General features: G+C 45.2%; 1 long non-coding RNA gene across 1 annotated transcript in view; it reads right to left on the minus strand.

Moving 5' to 3' along the window:
• The window catches only part of LOC105372353 (uncharacterized), a 35,060-nt gene that overhangs the window by 15,423 nt on the left and 720 nt on the right, over positions 1-18,917 (minus strand). The window contains exons 2-4 of the long non-coding RNA XR_935896.3: positions 18,414-18,589; positions 12,043-12,325; positions 612-713 (exon numbers count right to left, since the gene is read on the minus strand). This is a non-coding gene — a long non-coding RNA (uncharacterized LOC105372353). The remainder of the gene's footprint in view (positions 1-611; positions 714-12,042; positions 12,326-18,413; positions 18,590-18,917) is intronic.

Here is an 18,917-nt window from a genome sequence, read left to right on the forward strand (position 1 = left end):
TATAGCGGCAAGGAGGGATTGGAGGGGAAGAAGAGAAGTCCTGGCTAGCATAGGTGGGCTTGTTATGCAGATGAAGCCTCCCAGGTAGCAGTCCTCAGAATAGATGGTGTTTCCTAAAGACTTTTAAAGGCGTCAGATTCTTTCCTAGATCTGGACAGGGAAGAGACTCAGAGAAAACCTGGCTGCATTAGTGCAGATGTTTTTTCTATAGATGCAAATCTCCCACATAAAAGACAGCTTTGCCACTTCTGTTCACAGGCCCTCTGAACAGTCATCTCAGAATATGTCAAAGAAGTGTATTTTGGGGTGAAATATTTTGATTTCCTTCACCCCTAAAGAGAAATTCAACCCAAATCAGCCAAAAACTGTGTTGAGCCACTACTGTGGGTGTGCACAACGGGAACGGAGCCCAATTTCCTGTCCCCGGGCCTGATAGCCAGGGAGCCAAAACCACAGAGAGAAATTGTATCGTGCCAAGAGATAGAGCAGGAACACGAAAGAGCATGGGCACTTCGGAAGTGTGTGAAAAGAGTGAGAAGTGTATCCAGCTCGTGCAGCCTAGGAGATGCAGCTTGCCAAGTGGAGTGAATGCTGCCTTTCAGTGCTCTCACCTCTGCTGGGCATGTTTGTGCAGTGGCCAACTTGCTCAACCGTATGCAATGACCTTGAAAAGAAGTCTCCTCTCTGAGCTTAGAACTGAGTAATGTCTCAAACTGAAAGAGAATAAATACATGCTGGATTTGAGTTTGATGAGACGCTGCCCATTGAGAAAATCTGTTCTATGCCTTATGGGATTAATTCAGGAATAAGTAAATTGAGTAAAGAGATTTGAACTCCAGATATTCAAAGAGCTCTTGACAAGGTGAAACCCTGCCTCTGATTGAGACTGACTAGAGCCGGGGTCCTGTGTGACCTTGATGCTGATGTAGGGGATGTGGGATAGGACAGGGAAATCAGGGCAATCTTAATACCAGAGAAAGAAAACAAGGGATTCACTTTTTTTTTTTTTTTTGAGACGGAGTTTCGCTCTTGTTGCCCAGTCTGGAGTGCAATGGTAGGATCTCGGCTCACTGCAACCTCTTCCTCCTGGGTTCAAGCAATTCTCCTGCCTCAGCCTCCTGAGTAGCTGGGATTACAGGCATAGTGCCACCACACCTGGCTAATTTTTTTTTGTATTTTTAGTAGAGATGGGGTTTCACCATGTTGGTCAGGTTGGTCTCGAACTCCTGACCTCAGGTGATCCACCCACCTCAGCCTCCCAAAGTGCTGGTATTACAGGTGTGAGCCACTGTGCCCAGCCTGGGATTCTTTTTTTTTTTTTTTTTCTTTTTTGAGATGGAGTTTTGCTCTTGTTGCCCAGGCTGGAGTGCAGTGGCGCAATCTCGGCTCACTGTAACCTCCACCTCCTGGGTTCAACTGATTCTCTTGCCTCAGCCTCTCTAGTAGCTAGGATTACAGGCGCCCACCACCACGCCCAGCTAATTTTTTGTATTTTTAGTAGAGAAGGGGTTTCACTATGTTGGCCAGGCTGGTCTTGAACTCCTGACCTCAGGTGATCTGCCCACCTTGGCCTCCCAAAGTGCTGGGATTACAGGCATGAGCCACTGCGCCCGGCAGGCATTCACTTTCTTAAACAGGATATAGATATTCCAAAATCACACCCTGGTCACAACACAGGAAACAGTAATAAGAGTAACTGATCCTTACGCATGGTTGCTATGTGCGTATGCTGCCTTAGACAGTTCCCAGGTGTTAATTCATCCACTTGGAGCTCTGCCCATCTCTACCTTGAAGAAGCTGCTGTTCAGTCTTTCACTTCATGCCCAGTCCCCTGGGCCTCCAGATGCTCAGAAACCCTCAGTCCTGTCTGAGGCAGACTCCAGGCTTTTAAAAACCCTAGATGGCTAAAATGAAATAGCTAAAAGAGATCCCAGTGCCTGCCTCCGGGACAAGAAGAAAGGAGAGGTGAAGGCAGAGAATTCACAACAAGCCTTTGGGGACCGATGTTTCATTTGGTTTTTTTAACTTTCAATTTAATTTGATGGAACATCTGAGGATTCCTTGTTGCTGTTGTTTTTTCTGTTGTTTGTTTAGAACAAGTTTTTTATTATTTATTTTTATTTATTTATTTTTTGAGACCAAGTCTTGCTCTGTTGCCCAGGCTGGAGGTGAGAGGTGGGGGCCGTGTTAAGAACTAGGCTCAGGCAGGTGCAGTGGCTCATGCCTGCAGCCCCAACACTTTTGGATGACGAGGTGGGAGGATCACTTGAGCCCAGGAGTTCGAGACAAGCCTGGGCAAGATAGTGAGATCCTGTCTCTACAGAAATAAAAATAAAAATAAAAAAATTAGCTGGGCATGGTGGCACACACGTGTAGTCCCAGTTACTTGGGAGGCCAAGGTGGGAGGATCGCTTGAGCCCAGGAGTTTGAGACCACCCTGGGTAACATAATGAGACCTCGTCTCTACAAAAAATTTAAAAATTAGCTAGGTATGGTATGTGCCTGTAGTACCAGCTACTCGGGAGTTTGAGTCAGGAAGATTCCTTGAGCCCAGGACTCAACCACAACTGTACCACAGCACTCCAGCTGGGGCAACAGAGCAAGACCCCATCTCTTTTTAAAAAGTTTAAAAAAGGAAAAAAGAAAAGAGGACCAAGCTCATTTCTGGAATCTTGTTTCTCTTAATTCTAGTTGCCCCTTTTGAAAGATTTTTAGCAAGATAGTTTGCCCTTGCTTTGTGGGGCAATTTCTATGCCTGGGTTGTTTCTTGTTTTGTGTATTTTTTCTAGTTTCGCTCTATTTCTTTTGATATAAAAGGTTTGGGAGTTTTATTGTTTGGGTGGGTTATGTTTTTTTATTTTTGTCTTTGATTTTGTGATTTACTTGTTTTTACTTATTCAGGGTCCTCTTTGGGAAGGTTTAGGAGAGGGAGGCTCCGAGGTTGAGCTTCCTCCTCTGCCTTCTTAGCCAGGAAATTCCCTCTTGTGACTTCAGAAAAGAGAAGGGAAGTTCTGACCCCCAGCATCTCAGGAAAGCTGAAGAATCCCTTAGGAGGGCATTAGAGGAACTTGCCCAAAAACATATTAGGAGAGAGAGAGGTTCAGGCAATGACAGATTGTGCTTCCTTTTTTCTTTTTTTTTTTTTTAGATGGAGTCTCGCTCTGTCGCCAGGCTGGAGTGCAGTGACACTATCTCAGCTCACTGCAACCTCTGCCTTCTGGGTTCAAGCGATTCTCCTGCCTCAGCCTCCCAAGTAACTGGGACTACAGGCACGCACCACCATGCCCAATTAATTTTTGTATTTTTAGTAGAGACGGGGTTTCACTATGTTGGCCAGGCTGGTTGAACTCCTGACCTCGTGATCCGCCCACCTCGGCCTCCCAAAATGCTGGGATTACATGCATGAGCCACCGCGCCGGGCCTTGTGCTTGCTTTTTTTTTCCCCCTCTTGTAACAATAGGTAACTTGGAAGATTTCCAGTGTGACCTTCATTCGTGCCTAGGTGGCCACCAAACCCCAACTCCAAGGCCTTGCCAGTTTTTTAAAATTCTAACACATTGAACGAAATAATGGCATTCCCAGCAACCTGGATGGAATTGGAGACCATTATTCTTTTTTTTTTGAGACGGAGTCTCGTTCTGTATCCAGGCTGGAGTGCAGTGGCGCAATCTTGGCTCACTGCAACCTCCGCCTCCGGGGCTCAAGCAATTCTCCTGCCTTAGCCTACCGAGTAGCTGGGATTACAGGTGTGCGCCACCACGCCCAGCTAATTTTTGTATTTTTAGCAGAGACGGGATTTCATCATGTTGGCCTCGATCTCTTGACCTCGTGATCCACCCACCTCAGCCTTCCAAAGTGCTGGGATTACAGGCGTCAGCCACTGCTCCCAGCTATTATTCAAAGTGATCTAACTCAAGAATGGAAAAGCAAACATCTTATGTTCTCATTCATAAGTGGGATCAAAGCTATGAGAGCACAAAGGCATAAGAATAATTCAGTGGAGTTTGGGGACTCATGGGAAAGAGTGGGATGGGGTGAGGGATAAAAGACTACACATTGGGTACAGTGTAGATGGCTTGGGTGAAAGGTGAACCAAAATCTCAGAAATCACCACCAAAGAACTTATCCATGTAGCCAAACACCACCCGTTCCCCAAAAACGATTGAAATAAAAAAAAAACCTTAAATACTAAAAATAAAATATAAAATTCTAACACATTAAACTTTTGAAACATATGTGCACACACACACACACACACACACAAATCCTAATTAATCAGCAACCATGTAAAGAACAAATGTGGGAAATGCTGTATATGCTATGAGAATTTCAATTACAAATGACAACGTTATACATTTTACTAATATTTGCTTTTGCTTTAAAAATTTTAAAATTTACATTAAATGTAATTCTTTAGTGTACAATTCTATTTGTTTTGGCAAATACATAAAGTAGTGTAACTACTCTGTCAACAAAGAGTCAAACTTGGCCAGGTGCGGTGGCTCACGCCTCTATCAGCACTTAGGGAGGCCAATGCAGGCGATTACTTGAGGACAGGAGTTTGAGACCAGCCTGGCCAACATGATGAAACCCCATGTCTACTAAAAATATAAAATATTAGCTGGGTGTGTTGGCGTGTGCCTGTAATCCCAGCTACTAAGGAGGCTGAGGCAGGAGAATCACTGGAGCCTGGGAGGCAGAGGTTGCAGTGAGCTGAGATCACACCACTGTACCGCAGGCCTGTGTGACAGAGCAAGACTCCATCTCAAAGGAGTTTAAAAAAAGAATCAGACTCTGTAAAATATTTTAACAGATTTATTCTGAGCCAAATATGAGTGGCCAGTGGCCTGTGACACAGCCCTCAGGAGGTCTTGAGAACATGTGTCCAGGGTGTTCAGGGCCCAGCCTAGTTTTGTACATTTTTAGGAGACAGGAAACATCATGCAAGATATACATTGGTTCAGTCCAGAAAAGTGGGACAACTGAAAGTGGGGGGACTCGAGCTTATAGGTAGATTTTTAAATTGTCTGATTTGCAATGGGTTTAAAGAGTTATTATCAATAGAAAGGAATGTCTGGGTTACAAAAAGGGGTTGTAGAGATCAAATTTTATCACGCAGAGGAAGCCTCCAGGTAGCAGGCTTCAGAGAAAAGAGATTGTAAATGTTTCTTAGCACACTTAAGGTCTGTGTTGATGTTAAGTAGGTACAAAAGTAATTTGCCATGACCTTTAATGACAAAAACCACAATTACTTTTGTAGCAACCTAATAAATGCTGGTCAGCTTTTCCTGAATTCCAAGAGGGAGGAGGGTATAATGAGGCACGTCCTCTCATCATGGCCTGAACCCGTTTTTCAGGTTAATTTTGGAGTGGCTTGGCTGAGAGGAGGGGTCCATTTAGACTGTTAGGGGGCCTTTGAATTTTATTTTTGGTTAACAACTCCCACAATCAAAATACAAAAGAGTTTTCCATCATCCCAAACTCCCACCCGCTCCCCCCCCGCACCCCCCCACCGCCCCATGCTACCCGTTGTGGCTACCCCACCCCCAAGCAGAAGCTACTGCTGATCAGTCATCCATCCTGACAGTTCTGCCTTTTGAGAGTGCCATAGAAATGATAACGTAGAATATGTAGCCCTTGGAGTCTGGCAGTTTTTCTCTTAGCATAATGTGTTTGAGATTCATTCTTATTGCTGGGTTAGTAGTTTGTTTCTTATTATGGTTGAGGTCCTCTTCATTTCATTGCTTGGATACCATATTTTATTCATCCATTCCACACTTGACGGCTATTTGGGTCATTTCCAATTTTTGCGGGGTTTTTTTGTTTGTTTTTTGTTCTTTTTGCCCAGGCTGGAGTGCAGTGACATTATCTTGGCTCATGGCAACCTCTGCCTCCTAGGTTCAAATGATTCTCCTGCCTCAGCCTCCCTAGTAGCTGGGATTACAGGCGTGTGCCACCATGCTTGCCTAACTTTTATATTTTTAGTAGAGACGGGGTTTCACCACATTGGCCAGGCTGGTTGGTCTCGAACCCTGACCTCAGGTGATCCACACCCCCTCAGCCTCCCAAAGTGCTGGGATGACAGGCATGAGCCACCGTGTCTGGCCTAATTTTTGTTTTTTAGCCATAAAGCTATTAAAAGCATTGGTTAACAGGATTTTTTGTGTGAACGGAAGTTTTTATTTATCTTGAGTAACCATCTAGGTGTGAGATTGCTGTATCATCTGGGGAGAGTAGGTTTAACTTTGTAAGAAACTGGCAAACTGTCTCTGAAGTGGTTGTGTCCTATTGTGTTCCTAGTAGCAATGTATGAAAGATACAGTTGTCTTGCATACTGTCCAGAACTTGGTATTCGCATTATGGGTTTGGTTTGGTTTTTATAGCCATTCAGATAGATATGTAGTATAATAGTATCTCATTGTGGTTTTAATTTGCATTTTCCTAATGTCTAATGATTTTGAGCATTTTTCATGCCTTTATTTGTCATTCATATATCTTCTTTGCTAAAGTGTCTGTTGAAATATTTGCTCATTTTGTGCTGTTTTTGAGACAGGGTCTCACTCTGTTGCCCAGGCTGAAGTCCAGTGGTGCGATCGTGGCTCACTGCAACCTCTGCCTCCCAGGCTCAAGTTGTTCTCCCACCTCAGCCTCCCGAGTAGCTAGGAGTAAAGATGTGTGCCACCATGCCCAGCTAATTTTTTTGTATTTTTTGTAGAAATAGGGTTTCACCATGTTGCTTAGGCTAGATTTTGTCTGTTTTTAAATTAAGCTGTTTTTTCTTTTTGTTGGGTTCTTCATATATTCTGAATACAAGCCCTTTGTCAGATATATGATTTGCAGATATTTACCCCTAGTGTGTGGCTTTTCTTTATTTTAACAGTGTCTTTCACAGAGCAAAGTTTAATTTTGATGAGGCATAATTTATCTTCTTTTTTCTTTATGGATTATGTTTTTGGTGTCTAAGAACACTTTGCCTAACCCAAGGTCATGAAGATTTTCTCCAATGTTTTCTTCTAAAGAATTTATAGTTTGATGTTTCACACTCAGGTCAAAAATTCATTTTGCGTTTGTTATTGTTTAAGTGTCTTAGTTCATTTGACCACAAACGGGGTAATTTAGAAATAATGGAAGTATATTTCACATCGTTCTCAAGGCTGTGAACTCCAAGATGCAGGTACAAGCATATTGAGTTTCCAGTGAAGCCCCAGTCTGTGCTTCCAAGATGGTGCCTCAAACACTGTGTTCTCACATAGCAGAGAGTGGAAGGGTAAAGGGTCTAAGCTAGTTCCTTCCAGCCCTTTTATTAGGCACTAATACATTACTGAGGGTGGAGGCTGCGTGACTTAATCACTTCACAAGAGATCCCACCTCTTAGTTCCACCACAGTGGGGATTGTCTCAACACATGAATTTTGGGGAACATCCAGAACATAGCAATAAGGCATGAGATGTAGGTCAAGGTACATTTATTTGCATATGGATGTCTAATTATTCCAGGACCATTTGATGAAAGCACTGTTCTTCCTCCATTAATTCTGTTTGCACCTTTGTTAAAAATCAATTGATCATATTCATGTGGGTCTATTGTTGGACTCTATATTCTGTTCCATTGATCAATTTGTATATCCTTCGAGAAATATCACATTGTCTCAATAACTACAGCTTTATAGTGAGAAGTAGTGGGTGTTGCACTTTTGCTCTTTTTTTCTGAAATGTTTTGGTGATTCTACTTCCTTTGCCTTTTCCCACAAAGGGTGTGTGTGTGTTTGTGTGTGTGTGTGTGTTTGAGACAGGGTCTCACTACATCACCCAGGCTGCTAGAATACAGTGGCATCATCTCGGCTCATTGGACTCTGCCTCCCAGGTTCAAGCAACTATAGGCATGCACCACCATGCCAGGCTAATTTTTGTAATTTCCGTAGAGGCAGAGGTCTCCCTATAGTGCCAAAACTGGTCTTGAACTCCTGGGCTCATGCAATTTGCCTGCCTCGGCCACCCAAAATGTTGGGTTACAGATGTGAGCCACCGCACCTGGCCTCCCATAAATTTTAGAATCACTTTGTCAATATCTGAAAAAAAAAAAAAAAACCTGCTACACTTTTGATCGGGATTGTGTTGAATGTATATACACCAAGTTAGGGAGAAGTGAAATTTTAACAATATCAAGTTTTCCAATCCACGTATGTATTATATGTCTACATTTATTTAAGTTTTCTTTGATTTCTTTATTTTTCAAAATTTTTTTGTCTTCTCCGGGTCAGAGTTGAATTATTTGATTTCTTTAGTTCATGTTTTGTAGTTTTCAGCATACAAATCCTGCATGTGTTTTGTTAGACTTATAGCAAAGCATTCCATCTTTTGGTGCTGTTGTAGATGGTACTGTTTTTAAATTTGTTATTCTCAATTTTTTATTGCTACATATAGAAATATAATTGGGTTTTGCATATTGACCTTGTTCCTGTGTACTTGCTAAGCTCACTTATAAGTTCTGGGAAGTACTTGTAAATTCCTTGAGATTTTCTATGCAGACCAGCAAATCATATGACAATAGAGAAAAATTTATTTCTTTTTGACTTATATGCCTTTTATTTCTTTTTCTTGCTTTATTGCACTGGCTAGGACTTTAGGAACAATGTTTAGCCTATTGATATGGTGAATTACCTTAATTGATTATTTAAAATGTTGAATCAACCTTGAATTCCTAGTATAAACCCAACTTGGTCACCTTGTGTTATCTCTTAAAAATATTGCTAGATTTAATATGCTAATATTTTGTTGAGGATTTTTGCATCTAAGTTTATGAAGGATGTTGGTCTGCAATTTTCTTTTCTTATACTGTCTTGTTCTGGCTTTGGCATTAAGGTAATGCTGGTCTCATAAAATTTTCCGGAAGAAATTTTGTAGCATTGTTATTAATTTCTTCCTTTAATGTTTGATAACATTCACCAGTGAGATCATCCGGCATGGAGCTCTTTGTTGTTGTTGTTGTTGTTGTATGGCTTTTCCATACAAAATAAACTTCTTTAATAGCTATAATGTTTTTCAAGTTATCTCTTTTTTCTTAAGAAAGTCTTAATGGTTTATGTTTTTCAAGGAATTGGTTCATTTCATCTAAGTTGTCAAATTCATGGACATAGATTTATTCATACTATTTATTTTTTAACGTCTATAGGGTCTATAGTAATATTGCCTCTCATTCCTGATATTAGTAATTTGTGTTTTCTCTCTTTTTTCTTCATCAGTCCAACTAGAAGTATATCAATTTTATTAATCTTTTCAAAAATCCTGATTTGGGATTTCTTTGCTGTTTTTTAGTTTTCCTATTTTATTTATGTCTACTCCAATTTTTATTATTTCCTTTCTTCTAAATACTTTGGACTTAGTTTGTTCTTTTTTATCCCATTTTTTTAAGGTGGAAACTCAGATAATTGATTTGAGGCCTTTTTTCCATTCATTGTGGAAGCGTTTACCTTCACCTCCTGGAGAATGGTATAATCATGGGGACATTTGCTCCCAAGACAGAAGTTTGCTCTCTTTATCCATTTTCTCAGAATAAAAGACCTCCCCGCTTCTGTCTTCCAAGGATTATAAGCAAGGAGGTTTTATGGGGCGTTTATGAAGATGCTGCTGGAGTTTGTCTTAAGAAACAGGAATAAAATGCATCATGAAAAAGATGGTGATTTTTATGTCTCAAGAAAACATCCCTAAGATGTGAAAAGAAGACGTATGAAAGCTCTCCCATCACTTCAGCTGGAGAGGAGACAGTGAGGGTTGGGGCAACAGAAAGCAAAGTGGGGAGGAACAAAGGTGGGGGATCTAGAGACTTAAAAGCTGCCTAGAGATTGGAGTCTTGAGTGATAGGAGAAGTACCCACTGGTGTCTGTGTCTTAGTCAAGGTCTTCCTAGAAGCAGACACCAAGACAGATGGACTTGGGGACATCAGTGAAGGATAAAGAAGAGGTAGTCAGAAAAGATGGAGAGACCCTTCAGATGACTTTGCCAGCCTGACACCAGGAGAAAGGAAGAAGAGTCTCAAACTGCAGTACAGTTCCAAGAAAGTGTCAGTCAGGCCAGTGGGGAATCCCTGAGTCAAGGTAACCCAAGGTCCCACATCTCACAAAGATGGACCAGTCTCAGCACCCATCATGCTCAGACATTGACTGGCAGCAGCCTGGAGGAAGTTGGGCGCTGGCACTAACACAGTGGTAGGTCCCCAAAGAGAGCATGTGGGGCTATCAGTCAACCACACTCTCACAGCAGAAGGGTGAGCCATGCATTTTCATGGCTGCCACCACAGTATGGGGACAGGGAACAGTGTGGGGGTAAAAAGCCTAATAATGCATGCTCTCCTTTGTCCTGAGCTGCTCAACCCAACCCCAACTCCAGGGGCACTCTGGAAAAGGCACCTGGGCCCCTGCTTCGGGAAAAAGAGGAAACATCATGAGAGGGCACCTCCTGCAGGAACTGCAAATGCAAGGCAAACTTGTCAGCCTCCAGAGGCCTCAGGGAGGGCAGCCAAGGTGGGTGACAGCAGGGAGCCGGGGGCTGTGCAGGAGCAGGATGGGCACATCCTCTAAGAGCACTCAAGCTCAGATTTTTGGGTAGGGGGGCTTTTATCCTATTTTATTTTATTGATGTATAATATACATACAATAAAGTGCACGAATCTTATGTGTATAGTTTGATAATGTTTTTTTTTTGAGATGGAGTCTTACTCTGTCACCCAGGCTGGAGTACAATGGCATGGTCTCAGCTCACTGCAACCTCTGCCTCCCGGGTTCAAGCGGTTCTCCCACCTCAGCCTCCCGAGTAGCTGGGACTACAGGCATGTGCCACCACACCCCGCTAATTTTTGTATTTTTAGTAGAGACGGGTTTCACTATGTTGGCCAGGCTGATCTCAAACTCCTGACCTCGTGATCCACCCACCTCAGCCTCCCAAAGTGCTGGGATTACAAGCGTAAGCCACCGTGCCCGGCCTTAGTTTGATAATTTTTTTACACATATTGTCAGCATTCATCATTTTAGCAATTCTGGTGAATGTCAAGTTTAGATTTATTGATTGATTTATTTATTTTTGAGACAGTGTTTTGCTCTTGTTGCCCAAGCTGGAGTGCAATGGTGCGATCTCGGCTCACTGCAACCTCCGCCTCCTGGGTTCAAGTGATTCTCCTGTCTCAGCCTCCCAAGTAGCTGGGATTACAGGTGCACACCACCACACCCAGCTATTTTTTTGTATTTTGAATAGAAACAGGGTTTCACCATTTTAGCCAGGCTGGTCTTGAACTCCTGACCTCAGGTGATCCACCCACCTCGGCCTCCCAAAGTGCTGGGATTACAGACGTGAGCCACTGTGCCCGGCCCAAGTTTAGATTTTTAAAATCCAGCATGCTAGCCAAGCAAAACGGAACTGTGGGACCTGCAGGCAGCCAGTGTGAAAACCTCACACCTAGGAGTTTTTCATTGCCTGTACAGGTGCCCACAGCACACACACATCTGGAAGTCAGGCCTCTCCTCCACTTCTCTGAATACTCAGGTGCAGTCCCTCCAGAGGGCAGGGCTCATTGCCCTTGCAGTGGATCCCATCTCTCCAGCCCATGTCTACACAGTTTTAATATTCCCAAATTATCAATCACACAAGGTGATGGTATGTATTAGGTTATTGTTATCATCATCATCATCACCACCACCACTGTTAGGATGCACAAATGCAAAAGGTACAAAATTCAAAAGACAGAACACGATGTATGAGTTATCGGTTGCTGCCTAACAAATTACCTCAAAATGTAGTGTCTTGAAGCCTGGGCAACATAGTAAGACGCTAAGACACTGTCTCTACAAAAAGTAAAACCAGCCAGGTGTGGGGGCATGCACCTGTCATCCCAGCTACTCAGGAGGCTGAGGTGGGAGGATCACTTGAGCCCAAGAGTTTGAGGCTGCACATGAGCCATGATTGCACCACTACAGTCCATCCTGGGTGACAGAGCAATACCCTGTCTTTAAAAAGAAAAAAAAACTAGTTGGTGGCTTGAAACAATACATACTTATACGGTATCACAGGGCTTCTGCAGGGCAGGAGCCAGGGAATGGCCCAGCTGGATGGCTCTGCCTCTAGGTCTCCCATGAGGTTGCAGCTAAGATGCTGGTCTAAGCCATGATCACCTCAAGGCTTTCTGGGGCTGAACAGTCTTCCAAGAGTCTTCCTCACCCCTAGCAAGGGGTTGGTCGCTGTTGGCTGGAGGCCTCAGTGTCTCCCATGGGCTTCTCCGGAGGGCTGCATGGACCTCTTCATGACTCAGCAGCCAGCTTCCCCTGGAGTGAGTGATCCTAGGAAGCAAGGCAGAGGCCACAATGTTCTTTATGACCTAGACCTGGAAGCCACGCTCTGTCATTTCCACAGTATCCTGTTGGTTACAGAGGTAAATCCTATTCCCTGTGGAAGAGAACTATACCAGGGCGTGAATACCACAAGGGTGCCAGGCATGGTGGCTCACACATGCAATCCCAGCACTTTGGGAGGCCGAGGCGGGCAGATAGCTTGAGCCCAAGAGTTCCAGACCAGCCTGGACAACATGGTGAAACTCTGAATCTACTAAAATAGAAAAATTAGCCAGGTGTGGTGGTGTGCACCTGTAATCCCAGCTACTTGGGGGGCTGAGGTGGGAGGATTGCTTGGGCCCAGGAGGTAGAGGTTGCAGTGAGCCATGATCGTGCCACTGCACTCCAACCAAGGCAACAGAGCAAGACTCAGTCTCAAAAAACAAAAACAAAAACAAAAACAAAACCACACACACACACACACACACACACACACACATAACAAAACAACAGCAACAAAACAAACAAAAATACCACAAGTGTATACAGTAAATGGGAATCTCCCTCCCACCCATTTTCCCTTCCAGAGGCAAACCCATGACCAGTTTATTGTGAATTCTGCCAGCAATACACACACACACACACACACACACTCTCACACACTCACACTATGCGTCCACTTGTATACCTTACTTTTTTTTACTCAGTATATCCTAGAAATCCTTGCATTTCAGGACATGAAGACCTGCCTTATTTCCTGAAACTGTGGGAAGCCATTCCATTGTATGAATGACTCGTAATTTCTTTGGCCGGCCCCTGTCAGTGGATATTAGGGCTGCTCCCTGCATTTCCCTACTGTAAGCAATGCCACAATAAATGAATGAGTGTTTATATCCTTTTGCACAAGGACAGGAGTATTTAAGGATAAATTCTGGAAGTGGACCAGCTGGAGAAAAAAGAGCCTGTGCTTTTTTTTTTTCTTTTTGACAGAGTCTTACTCTGTCACCCAGGGTGGAGTGCAGTGGCATGATCTTGGCTCACCGCAACCTCCATCTCCTGAGTTCAAGCAATTCTTCTGCCTCGGCCTCCCAAGTAGCTGGGACTACAGGCACCCGCCACCATGCCCACCTAATTTTTTTTTCTTTTTAAGACGTAGTCTTGCTCTGTTGCCCAGGCTGGAGTGCAGTGGTGCGATCTCAGCTCACTGCAACCTCCGCCTCCTGGGGTCAAGCAATTCCCCTGCCTTAGCCTCCCAAGCAACTGGGATTACAGGCATGCACCATCACGCCTGGCTAATTTTTGTATTCTTAGTAGAGACAGGGTTTCACCATGTTGGCCAGGCTGGTCTCGAACTCTTGACCTCATGATCTGCCCGCCTCGGTCTCCCAAAGTGCTGGGATTACAGGCATGAGCCACCGCACCCGGCTCTTGCCCAGCTAATTTTTGTATTTTTAGTAGACGGGATTTCGCATGTTGGCCAGGCTGGTCTCGAACTCCTGACCTCAGGTGACCCGCCTGCCTCAGCCTTCTGAAGTGCTGGAATTACAGGTGTGAGCCACTGTGTCCGGCCAAGTCTGTACATTTTAAAATTTGATCGATGTTGCCACATTGCCCCCCATGAAGGTTGGTTGTAAAAATTTATGCTCTCACCAGCAAGAAAATGGATTTATGAAGGCTTGGGTGGTAATGGCCAAAATGTAGGGCATTCCCTGGGCAGTTCAGTAAGTAATTAAAAATGGAATATCACCTGTCCGGGTGCAGTGGCTCATGTCTGTAATCCCAGCACTTTGGGAGGCCAAGGCAGGAGGATCACTTGAGACCAGGAGTTTGAGACCAGCCTAGGCAACATAGCAAGACCTGTATCTCAATAAAAAATTTAAAAATTAGCTGGGAGTAGTGGCGTGCACCTGAAGTCCCAACTACTCAAGAGGCTGAGGCAGGAGGATTACTTGAGCCCAGAAGTTCAAGACTGCAGTGAGCTATGATTGCACCACTGTAAGCCAGCCTGAGCAACCAAGCGAGTCCCTGTCTCAATAAAATAAATTTTAAAAAGAATAAAAAGTAACATGGAATATCACCCATCCCTGTTCTTTGAAGCCTTTCCCAGCCCCATTCCACAACCAGAGAGCCTCCCTGGCCCTCTCTCACGCCATGTGCTGGACTTTTTCTCTCTCTGGCTTGCTTGTTCCTGGCCCCTGGAATTTCTGTTCTTGCCTTAAATGCAGCAAGTGAGGAGGTATTTGCCAGCCAGACCCCAAAGGCTGACACTGAAATGCCAAATGGTTCTCCAAGATGTGTCATCCAACCAAGACAGCTTCTCCTGCACAGACCCCTGCCCTCTACTCGGGGTGGGCAGCCTTCTCTCCTCATGGATAAATATGACGTGTTCATGGGTTTGCCCCAATGGACTGTGAGCTCCCCAAGGGTAGAGGCAGTGCCACATTCATCCCTGGATCCACTGCCTGGGTAGTGGCACAAAGAGGGATCCAGTAATTGCTGAATGAATGAATGAATGACCCAGACAGAACTTTGTCAAACCAGTGCTGTCAAAAGCCTCTTGGATGTACTCCATTGACATTAGGTGGGTCTAATACTCTCAGGTTATATTGGCCTGCAACATTTATTTCACATCTCGAAGGCATTTTTCAAAAAGCATTGCTTCTGTTTTATTTATTTATTTTTAGAGACAAGGTCTTGCTCTGTTGCCCAGGCTGGAATGCAGTGGTGTGATCTTGGCTCACTGTAGCCTCAAACTCCCAGGCTCAAGCGATCCTCCCTCCTCAGCCTCCTGAGTAGCTGGGACTACAAACACGCACCACCATGCCCAGCTAATTTTTGATATTTTTGTAGAGATGGGGTTTCACTATGTTGCCCAAGCTGGTCTCGAACCCCTGGGCTGAAGTGATCCACCCGCCTCAACCTCCCATAGTGCTGGGATTCCAGGTGTGAGCCACCACGCCCTGCCTGCTTCTGTTTTCTTTTATTTCTCCTTTCCCCCTTTGGCCTGGTTGGAGCCTCAAGGGGAAAATCCATGCTGGGAAACAAAAACAATAATGCCCGTGAACATGAAGTGGATGTGCAGACAGCTGGAATGATAAATGCAGGGCATACACACACACACACACACACACGCACATACACACACACAGAGAGAGAGAGAAAAGAATAAACAGGCAGACGGGCAGGGCAAGTGGGTGCGGGGGCGTCAGTGTCATCTCATGGTTCCGTAGAGTCGAGATTATCTCAGCTTCAAATCCAAGGCCCCTGCAGCAAGCCCGCCCTCAAGATTCTCTTTTGAAGTCACAGTTTGCCAAACATCTCTGGGTTTCCTCCTTTAAAACTAATCTTCTTAACCATTTCAGTAAAAATCTTTTCAAAATGCCCCACATTTTATGGCTTTGAGACTCAGTGTCTTTAGTATGTTACGGTATCTATAAAGAAAGCAGCATTTAGGCCAAGTGCGGTGGCTCACACCTGTAGTCCCAGCACTTTGGGAGACTGAGACAGGAGGATCACTTGAACCCAGGTGTTCGAGACCAGCCTGGCCAACATAATGAGACCTGGTCTCTACAAAAGATTTTTTAAATTAGCTAGGTGTGATGGGTTGTGCCTTTAGTTCCAGCACTTTAGGAGGTAAAGCTGGGAGGATCACAAGGTCAGGTGTTCAAGACCAGCCTGAGCAACATAGAGAGACCCCCCCCGCCTCCCCTACATCTCTACCCAAAATTTAAAAAGTTAGCTGGGCGAAGTTGCATGGGCGCATAGTCCCAGTTACTCAGGAGGCTGAGGCAAGAGGATCGCTTGAGCCCAGGAGGTAGAAGCTGCAGTGAGCCATGATTGTGCCACTGCACTCCAGCCTGAGTGACAGAGCAAGACCTCATCTCTAATAAATAAATAAATTGAAATAAAATAAAAATAATGTTTTAAAAAGAACACAGCATGTAGTAGTTTGGGAATCAGACAAATTTAGGGTCAGTTTGAGGATCTACCCAAGCTAAACAGTAGGACCTCTGTTTCCTTTGTTTTTCTTTAATTTGTTTTCCCAATTTTTTGTTTTGGAAACTTTCAAATCAATAGAATAGTTATAAGAAAAGTTCAACGAATAGCCAGAGATCAGGGACTGGTAAACTTCAGCCCACATCCTGGTTTTGTATGAGCTAAGAATGGTTTTTAATTTTTTCAAATGGTTGGAAAAAAATTTTTAAAGAATTTTTCATAACACACGAAAATTACATGAAATTCAAATATCAGTGTCCATGACGTTAACTCTCTTGTTTAAGTATTGTTTGTGGCTGCTTTTGCTTTGCAACAGTGAAGTTCAATAGTTGCCGTAGAGATCCTGGCTCTCAAAGCCCAAAGTACTTAACATTTGGCCCTTTACAGAAAAAGATTGGAGACTCCTGACCCCAATTTACCAATTGCTAATATTCTGCCTCCTTTGTTTTCTCTCTCTCTTGCTGGAATGTTTGTGTTCATCCTTAAATACTTCAGTGCCTATTTCAGTTTCTTATACTGAAAGCTGGGAATGACAGCTTTAGTGTGGGAAGAGATAAGATAACATAAAATGTTTAGCACACAGTGCTTGGCCTGTAGACAGAACTTAATAAACGATCCAAAAAAAATTCCTGGCATTGAGCACAGAGGTGGTTGCCAGAATCCCTAACCTGAAAATGCCGAGCCCCACTGCTTTTCTGAAACCCGGGTTCCCGCAGTCTGGAAGCCAGCTTTTCCTCCAAAAGGGCTTCTTTCCTGAGAAGTAGCAAACGCCTCGGAGAAACCTCATTCTTTCCACAGCTATGTGGCTTGGCTGACTCAACTTCTGCCTGCCCCTGAGTCACGAGTTTTTCCTCTCTTATTTGGAGGAGCGAGGCCCTCCACCCTCCACCCAGCTGTCCCCACGCACAGCCAGCCCCGCTGGGAAGTGGATGGACAGCTGGGAGACCAGTGCGTGCTGCCTCCAGGGCGTTTCTTGGAGCGCCATTCAGATCCATAGTTGGAAGGAAGGACAGAAGAGGAGACTGAGGTCCAAGTGGGCCCTGGACCACCAGCAGGACAAGGCTAGGAGGAACATCCTCCCTCTAGTTTCCCAGTCATGAAAAGGCTTCCTTCTCCCGAGGCCTCCTCTGTACGGACAAGGTGTTAGATGCCAGGACACTGTTATAAAGAGACAGCCCTGCCTTCCCAGGGGACTGGCTCCCTTCCAAGTCTCACAGCCACCTCCACCCCAGCCAGGGCCTACCCTCCATGAGAAGCAGCTCCTTGCCAGGGAGGTGGCGGAGCTGGCACTGAGCAGTCATGGATCGCAGCCTTGAAGGCTCAGCTTGAAGTCCCCCTCCACCCGCTGGTGACAAGCAGTGTGTACACAGGAGATGGTGTTTCCCAGCATCCCAATGGCCCCACTGACCCTCCTGGTTATTACTCTGCCTGTGGGATCTCAGACCTTGTGTTTTCTGCTCTCTGTGGTATAGAGGCCTGGCTGCCCCTTCAGGACTTGTAAACCCAAACGTATATTCATCTGGAGGTGCAAAAGGGGGTAAAGTGCCCCAAGGGGGAAACCAGAGGGAGTGTGGGGACCATAGTGGAGGGGAGAACACAAGGCCCCTCTAAAGAGGACCCGCATTCTCAAATCTTCTGATTTAAGAGAAGCTGAAGATCCTGATTTTTATGTGAACTCTCCCCATATGAAATGTTCACAGCAATGCATTTTAAAAATGTTTAAACACTTTGAAAGCAAACAGACATTATTCGGGTCTTGTGGGGTTCAGGGTTACTTACCAGGCGGTGACTTCTGTTGAATGCTCATAAAAGCTGTCCTTGCTGATGAGGGCAACGGTAGTGGGTGGGCGCCATGAAGTGGTAGTGGGGAGGGGGCTCCCCAAGGCCACAGCTGGTGGCCCTCTCACTTGCCTGTCCCCTCTCCCTCCCCCTCCGTCACCCCCTTTCCCTTCCCTTCTCAGCTGGGAGAGGACCGTCTCCAGCACTGGGCCCACCTCACAGCCTCGCCCATAGCCCCCTGCCAAGAGAGCAGGCACCTCTTCTAGCTCCAGCCCCACAGCCCTACAGCCCATCAGCCCTCCCCCCGCTGCTCCCCTCTCACCTGGTCCTGGCCCAGCAGGCCTGCCCCGGCCTGAGCCACCCCTCTCAGGGTGCCCAGGTGGAGTTCTATTTGGCAAGACAACCTGCATCTATGTGACAGGTAGGGACTGCGTTCCTCCTATGCGCTGCCCGTTCTCAGCACTCGGTATGCAGGGGTGAACCAGAAGAAAGTCCTGTCTGAACACGAGAAGAAATTACTGTCTAGCCCGTGGGGCTCACAGCCTGGGTGGGAGGCAAGCCACCAGCATGACTTGTTTATGAGCATTCCACAGAAGCCACAGCCTGGTAGGCAGCCCTGAATCCCACGAGCGGCCTCAGGAGAGGACTCTGGGTTGGGAGATGCTTTGCAAAATTACAAACACGGGTGACTGTGGAGGGAGATGGGGTGGAGACAGGGAACCGCTTTGGGTGGCCAGGGCAGCCTCCCTGAGGAGGTGACAGTTTGAGGTCTGATGGAGGTAGAAGCAAAGGCCTGAGGCTTTAAGGAACAGGAAGAAGCCCATTT

Source organism: Homo sapiens, chromosome 19, assembly GCF_000001405.40.
Source record: "Homo sapiens chromosome 19, GRCh38.p14 Primary Assembly".
NCBI classification, from domain to species: domain Eukaryota; kingdom Metazoa; phylum Chordata; class Mammalia; order Primates; family Hominidae; genus Homo; species Homo sapiens.